At 40.6% G+C, this 7,133-nt stretch overlaps 1 protein-coding gene across 9 annotated transcripts in view, besides 1 other annotated feature; it reads right to left on the bottom strand.

The window, feature by feature from the left end:
* Nucleotides 1-7,133, bottom strand: part of SLAMF1 (signaling lymphocytic activation molecule family member 1) — a 38,939-nt gene that overhangs the window by 29,650 nt on the left and 2,156 nt on the right. The gene's annotated exons all lie outside the window — the stretch shown is intronic.
* Nucleotides 2,815-2,974: an enhancer, noted in NCBI's record as "active region_1938". NCBI's record gives its function as "activates an Ori minimal core promoter by ATAC-STARR-seq in GM12878 lymphoblastoid cells {active_cell/tissue: GM12878}" and the evidence as "EXISTENCE:reporter gene assay evidence [ECO:0000049][PMID:35858748]".

A 7,133-nucleotide genomic window follows, 5' to 3' on the forward strand; every position in this document is an offset into this window, starting at 1 on the left:
ATAGATTAACTAGAGTACTGGGTCTTTATCAACTCAGATTTATTGTTCAGGCATCTAAAAAGCACAGAGAAGTTAAATGGCTTCCCTAACTAGTAAGTGGCAGAGTCAGGATTAGAATTCAGTTCTGCTAATTCCTCTACCAGGGTTTTTTCCACCATTGAATATACAGGATGAAGGATGGAGAGCAAATAAAAGTGATTCTGAGCTCATGAGCCCAGGAAGCATTTCAGATCATGAGGAAAACAGAAAAATCTGAGGAATGTGGAGTCAGGAAGTGATAAGCCCAGTGTTCAAACTGTGGAATCCTCTCTCTCCAAACACCCTGAGATAGTTAATAATGTCGACAGTGAGATATTACTGTATTTCTCTTTTCCAAAAAAGCTGAGCCAACAACAAGGTTAAAAAAAAAAATACCAAGAGCCTTTCAAACCACTATGAGGGTTCCTGCTGCTGATTATTTCACACCTCCTCTCTCCTCAAACCCACAACCTGCCTTTCCCCCTCCTCTCTCATGTGACGACTTTGCTTTTTGTTTCACTGAAGTATAAAATAGAAAACACAAAAAGAGAACTTCCACTTATTACCACCACTAAATCAACCTACCTACCTGGATGGATGGTCTACATTCCCACTTAAGTCGAGCCTCTTCCTCCACGGAGCACTCACCTACTTCAAGGCTTTGTTTCGGCAATTGCCTCTGTCCCTCACATTATCAGGTTTTTTTTTACTAGGTTATTTCCATCAATACACAACATATAAACTTGTAGTTTCCTTATATTAAAACTATCTCCCCTGATCCCAGGTCCATCCCCAGATACCTCTCCATTTCTGTTTTCCTTTACAGCAAAGTGCTTTAATGTGTGTTTATAGTTTCTTTTCCCATTTCCAGACCCATTTTTCCTTGGACCCACTATAAACAGGTGTTCTTCCCCACTGCTCGCTGGAACCACCTTTGTCAAGGTCACTGTCTACTCCACTAAGCCAAGTCAAAGTTCTTATCTTACTTGCTTTCTCAGGGGTACTTGACATAGTTCATCCATCCCTCCTTCAAACGCTGTCATCATTTGGCTCAGGGAACAACATACTCTCCCGGTTTTTCTCCTATCCTATATAGGTTGCCTCTGCTCAGTTTTCTTGGCAGGAGCCTTCTGCTCTTCTGGACTTCTAAATACTGGAGCATCTCAGTACTCGGAGTTCTCATTCTCATCCACACTCATCCAGTTTCTCACCCAATTGCACAGTCTGACATATTTCTGGGATGCTACAGGGTTATATCTCCCAACCAAAACCTTCACTGCACTCCCAACTGCCTACACAAGACAGGACTTGGAGGTCTAAAGGGCATTTCAAACTTAGCAAACAAACTCTTGGTTCCAGAACACCTTCTGCAAACATTATAATTCAGCCAATTTGTCAGGCCAAAACACTGGAAACATCCTTGATTCCTTTCTTTCTCGCATACTCCAAACTCAATTTTTTTTTTTCTGTGAGATGGAGTCTTGTGCTGTCGCCCAGGCTGGAGTGCAATGTTGCGATCTCGGCTCACTGCAACCTCTGCCTCCCGGGCTCAAGCAAGTCCCCTGCCTCAGTCTCCTGGGTAGCTGGGATTACAGGTGCCTGCCACCATGCACTGCTAATTTTTTGTATTTTTAGTAAAGACGGGGTTTCACCATGTTGGCCAGGCTGGTTTCGAACTCCTGACCTCAAGTGATCTGCCCGCCTCGGCCTCCCAAAGTGCTGGGATTACAGGCATGAGCCACTGTGCCCAGCCATACTCCACACTCATTTTAACAGCAAATCCTCCTGGCTCTGACTTCAAAATATGTCTGGTATCTGAACCCTTTTCACCTCCTGCATTTCCACCACCATCATCCCAGGCCTGGGTACTGCCGTCTTCTTCCAGCTGATCTCCCTGCATTCATACAATAGATGGAATCATCTTTAAAAACCATGTCCTATTTTGTCTCTCTCCTGCTTTTAAATTTCTGTGGCTTTCTAGCACCGATAGAATAAAACCATAGTCCATTATTGATATGGCTTCAAAGGCCCTGCATGCCCAGTCCGTGGCACTGTTCCAACTCCATTTCCTGCCCTCCTCTTTGCTCACTGTGCTACGGCCACACTGGCTCCTGGCTGTTTCTTAAACCCACCAAGAACATTCCTGTCTCAGAACTTTTGCTTTTGCTGTTCCTCTCTCTGAAGAATTTCTTCCCTTCCATACCTGGGTAGCTCATTCTTTCACTTTATTTTAGGTATCTGCTCAAAACAGTTTCTCCTCCAAGAGGCCTCCTCTGACCATCTATCTAAAATAGCTTTGTGTTTCTTTCTGCACTTATCACTGCATTATATTATACTGTATATTTGTTTGTTTTATTTTTGTCTCTCCCACTAGAATGCAAAAGCCTCAAGAGGAAGAACTTCATTTTGTTCACTATTTTGACCCCAAGACCTACAAACAGGTGCTATGTGCTTAGTATATAGGAGGCATTTAATAAATATCTGTTCAATGAATGAATGCTGAAAACCATAATACCTGACCAAAGCCTCTTATTTAGGTTATTAGGTTTGTCATATATATATATATATATATATATATATATATATACACACACACACACACATATATATATATACACACACACATACATATATATATACATACACATATATATATATCTGAACTTAACCATAAGCTAGTGTTCATAAAAGAAGGAGCCCATGACTCAAAGAGAGCATAGATTGTTCTAGCTGATAAGAAAGTCAGAGAGTAAAATAGAACCATCAGCTTAAGTAATGCAGCTACCTAGAAGAGACTCTTTCACAACTGACTTGTGGCTAAGATGAGCTATTGGAAAATTGGACACACTGGCCCAAATATTCTTGTCACCAAAATACCCCGAAATCCCCATGTTGCTCAGTAAAGGGCTCAGCTAATAGTAGACTAGAGATTCAGTGATTGGGGAAGAAGAAAAAGAAGTCTATCTGGGCTAAAATCTGGCCTAGAGTGATTGAAATTCTTAATTGTTGAGGAAAAGTGAGAAAGGCAATTAGGCATTTGTCTTTTAAAATATTGCGAATATATTAAGCTTAAAACAGAGTGCTCTCCCCTGCTGCTTGATGACATGAGGAACATTATAGTTATTGTGGTGGTGGTGGTTGTTTTTACATTAATATACTGGGAAGCATGTTGGATTTTCTTCCACCACACTTATGGATGCCTGACTGTCTAGATAATGTGACCCCTTTGGTGGCTACATACCTGACTTGTAGGCACAGTACCTAAAAGAGTAACTTCTTGAATCCTGAACCTAAACTTCTGTGTATAAAGAAATGAGAAAAAATTTAAAGCCATATGTGCAAGTATGAACTTCCAGACTTTTGTATAAAAAGTTGTATAGATGAGCGTATACATATTTTTCTGGGAGCACATCCATAAATGCCATCTCTTAAAGGGATCTGAGATTCAAAACAAGATTAAAAATTGCTAGCGTAGTGTTGATTTTTAAAGACCAACTTTGATAGGGAGAAAAAAAGAATAAAAAATCCCATTTTCAGGCCATAACCCATCGCCACCACTCCCCAAAATGGCTCCCATGCACTCCTTCCCCACCTAACCTTGCACACTCTTTGCGCCATGGTTGCTTTCAGAACTTGGAGTTGATTGGGGGAGGAGAAAGAGGGATATAAGAGAGGTAGGGAATAACCAAAAAAATAAAAAAATAAAAAAATAAAATAAACGAAAGAACATAGAAGGAGAAAGAGGAAGAGGAAAAGGGAGGGGTAGATGAGAGAGGCTGAGTGGTTTTATGCACACTCAGTCATGAGGAGTGGAACCAAAACTTCATCAGGAAGAGACCCTTATACCCCACAACCCACATAAAGAATGATGACGCAATACCTGAGTGTGTGAGTGTTGGGGTCTGGAGGGGGTACTTGAGATCACCCTCACATAAGCACAAGGTGGAAAAATAAGTGGGGGCTTTAAAGTGGTTCATAAAACCCCTCGAGTGGCGTCCCTGCTCCTGAAACATCCTGCTAGATGAGTGTTTTCCAGTGTGTCTGTGATTCAGCCAGCCCTTATTTACTAAAAGAGTCTGGGAGGAAACATTTGTAGCTGTTAACACCAACTCACTTTCCTTCATGGGTAATTCTACTTCGAAAAATGAGTGATTCACATGGGCCTATGGAGTTTGGTCAAAAATTATTAATAGTAGGATTTAGCCAACCCTCTCACAAGATGGGCTTCTACCTAATGATAACTCTTTTTGTTTTATTGTATTATATTTTTTTGCCTAGCCCTGACACTTTCATATGTGCTTTTAGCATCTTGCTACAGTATTCTTTCAGGTACAGAAGGAACAGAACTTACAGACCCCACAGTTCTTTTGGTAAATTTAGGCTCAGAAAGAAAAGACATCTTGTCTGTGTTTGCTTTTTAAACTGTATCCCCATCAGTCAAAGTCCTATTTTTATTATTTGGCACTGCTGGGTCTTTCTATCTTAGACTATTAGTATGTACGTTCCCTAGCCTTAGAGGCTATAACCACTCTTTATTTGCCTAGCTAACAACTTCCATCTTTCTGGTCTCCATTTTGACATCTCTTTCATAGGGAAGACTTTCCTGACTCCTGACTTAGGTTGGGTTTTCCTGTCACAGACTTCCAATGGACAATGAACGCACTCCTTCATATCATTCATCACGTGTTCAACTCTGGTTCAATGCCTGTAATCCCCCACTCTTATAAGCTTCCAAGAGTAGGGACTGTGTCTGTTTTATTCACTACAGTATCCCTAACACCCACCTGGGACATAGTAGGAGCTCAGTAAATCCTTGTTGCCCAAGTGAATTAATAAAACAGAATGGGATGAATGAAAAATGAGCAAATGACAACACAGAGTCCAAGTTCTCCTCCCTCCAAAAGCAGAATGTACTCTGATTTGCCTTTATAGTATCCCTAAGAGGTATATTATGGAAGAAAGTGGTGGGGACCCTTTTCCCCACTTGCCAGCTGAGGACATGGAAGTGCCTTAAATATAAACCCTAGGTTTCAGGTACAACAGACAACTTGCCAAGAACACTTGAAACCCTTTACCTCTGCATTTGTGCCTCCTTCTAGAACGCTCCTTCTCAAGTTCCATAAAAATCAAGCCCATCGGACCCATTTATTTGGGGCTAAGTTTTTAATATTCATTTTTATTAACTTTATCCCAAATGTGCACATGAGATATACTGGATTAGAGTTAAATTTCTTATTAAATGACTCACAGTAAATAGTAAATGCTTTGGCCCCCCACTTCCCCCTAGGATGATGTGATAAGAGCAAGGTCAATTGCTCTATGTGAGTAAACAGACACTCCATAGGTAAGAAACAAGGACAAATTATTTTCCCTACCTATAAAAGAGGGAGGAGGCAGCTATCCCCCCTCCCCGTCTTAAAGGTCTGCTCCTTATTCCAACACTTTGGTAGGTAGATAAATCTCTCCAGGAGCCAGATAGTCCGTTACATGTCTTGGCTTTTATGGCAAGTCCTGGGACTTGACTCCAAGTTCTGGGGCTCATTCCTTCTTGCATGCTGCATAATGATGGCACAAGCTTATGCTGGCCTGCTTAGGAAGATAGTGACTCCAGGCTTCATGGCACCCTGGGCGCTCTACCTAGGGACCTTGTTCAGGCTATAACCATTTGCTCCTCTCGGGAAAAATTTTATTATTCGTTTGGATCAGAGCAATTACCTATGCAAATAACTACAGATTTAATTCTTATGGTATGAAAAAATGTCAGAGCTAGTACTCTTCACCAGGACACTGAAAAGTCGAGAGAAGTTTTATTTCCCCACCCTCTTTATCTCTGATTTCTTCTCTGCCATGTTAAAAAATTGATACATAATAGATGTATATATTTTCAGGGCACATGTGCTGTCTGATACACTCACATGTTGTGTAAAGATCAAATCGGGTTAATTGGGATATGTATCACCTTGAGTATTTCTCTTTTCTTTATGCTAAGAACATTTGAATTATTCTCTTCCAGTTATTTTGATATGTACAATAGATTATTGTTAACTATAGTCACCGTACTGATCTATCAAACACGAAGACCTATACATTTGGAAAGACACACAAGAAACTGGTCACAGTGGTTGCCTCCAGCATGAGGTATGGAAGGGAAATTAGTCTTCACTAAATACTCTTGTGTACTGTTGAAGTTTCATAGACATGACATGTTTTATAGATGTGATAATCAATAAACAAACTAGTTAACAAAAAAAAATTAAATGAACATTTGCATGATGAAAAAAAGTTTTCATTTTCCAAATTCCAGGTCAAATACTTCTTATATGCCCTCTACGTTCTTCTGTGATTTTTATCAGTCTCTCACCTTTTGGACATTTCTATACTTCAATTTATTCCAATTCAATTCAACTCATATTTTTCAATTATAGATAGCACATTCTAATTTTTACCATGGGACCTGGATACAAATTTTGGCATTCTCTCCACCCCTGCTTCCCAAACATAGGCTTGTCCAGTTTTACTCATTGAGGCCTCTGGAGTCAGGCAGCTATGTGAGCGCAGAGAAATTGCTAAACTACTCTGTGCCCCTTTCCTCATTTATAAAGTTGTAATGGTACCAATAATACATACATTTCTTATAGGGTTGGTGTGAAAATGAAATGACTGACACACATAAAGCATTTAGAACAGTGCCTGGTATATGGCAAGTATGCAGTATATACCAGTATTATTCACTCAACAAATATTTGTGGACAGGCTCTCAGTACAGACACAGTGTCAGGTGCTGGGCAGTGGCTGTTGTTCATTTTGTTTTCCCCACACCTTGCACCCTTGCACAGTGGCTGCCACATCATGTGTCCTTAATAGTTGCTGAATGGGATCATTCAAAGTCAAATCTATGGATTAAACCAATTAGCCCTGATACTCTGATTTCCAGTCCAGTGAGGGAGACAGTGAAAGTGACAGCATCACATCACAGTATTAATATTTTTGAGAAATAGAAGTGCCTAGATTGACATCTTGGGATAGAATGGGCCACTGAACACGCAAGGTTAGGCCAAGTCTAGAACCCACGCACTTGTCCCTCACCTTCCCCCAAAGTGTGTGAAGGGGGTGCA

This window comes from Homo sapiens, chromosome 1, assembly GCF_000001405.40.
Source record: "Homo sapiens chromosome 1, GRCh38.p14 Primary Assembly".
In the NCBI taxonomy this organism is placed as follows: domain Eukaryota; kingdom Metazoa; phylum Chordata; class Mammalia; order Primates; family Hominidae; genus Homo; species Homo sapiens.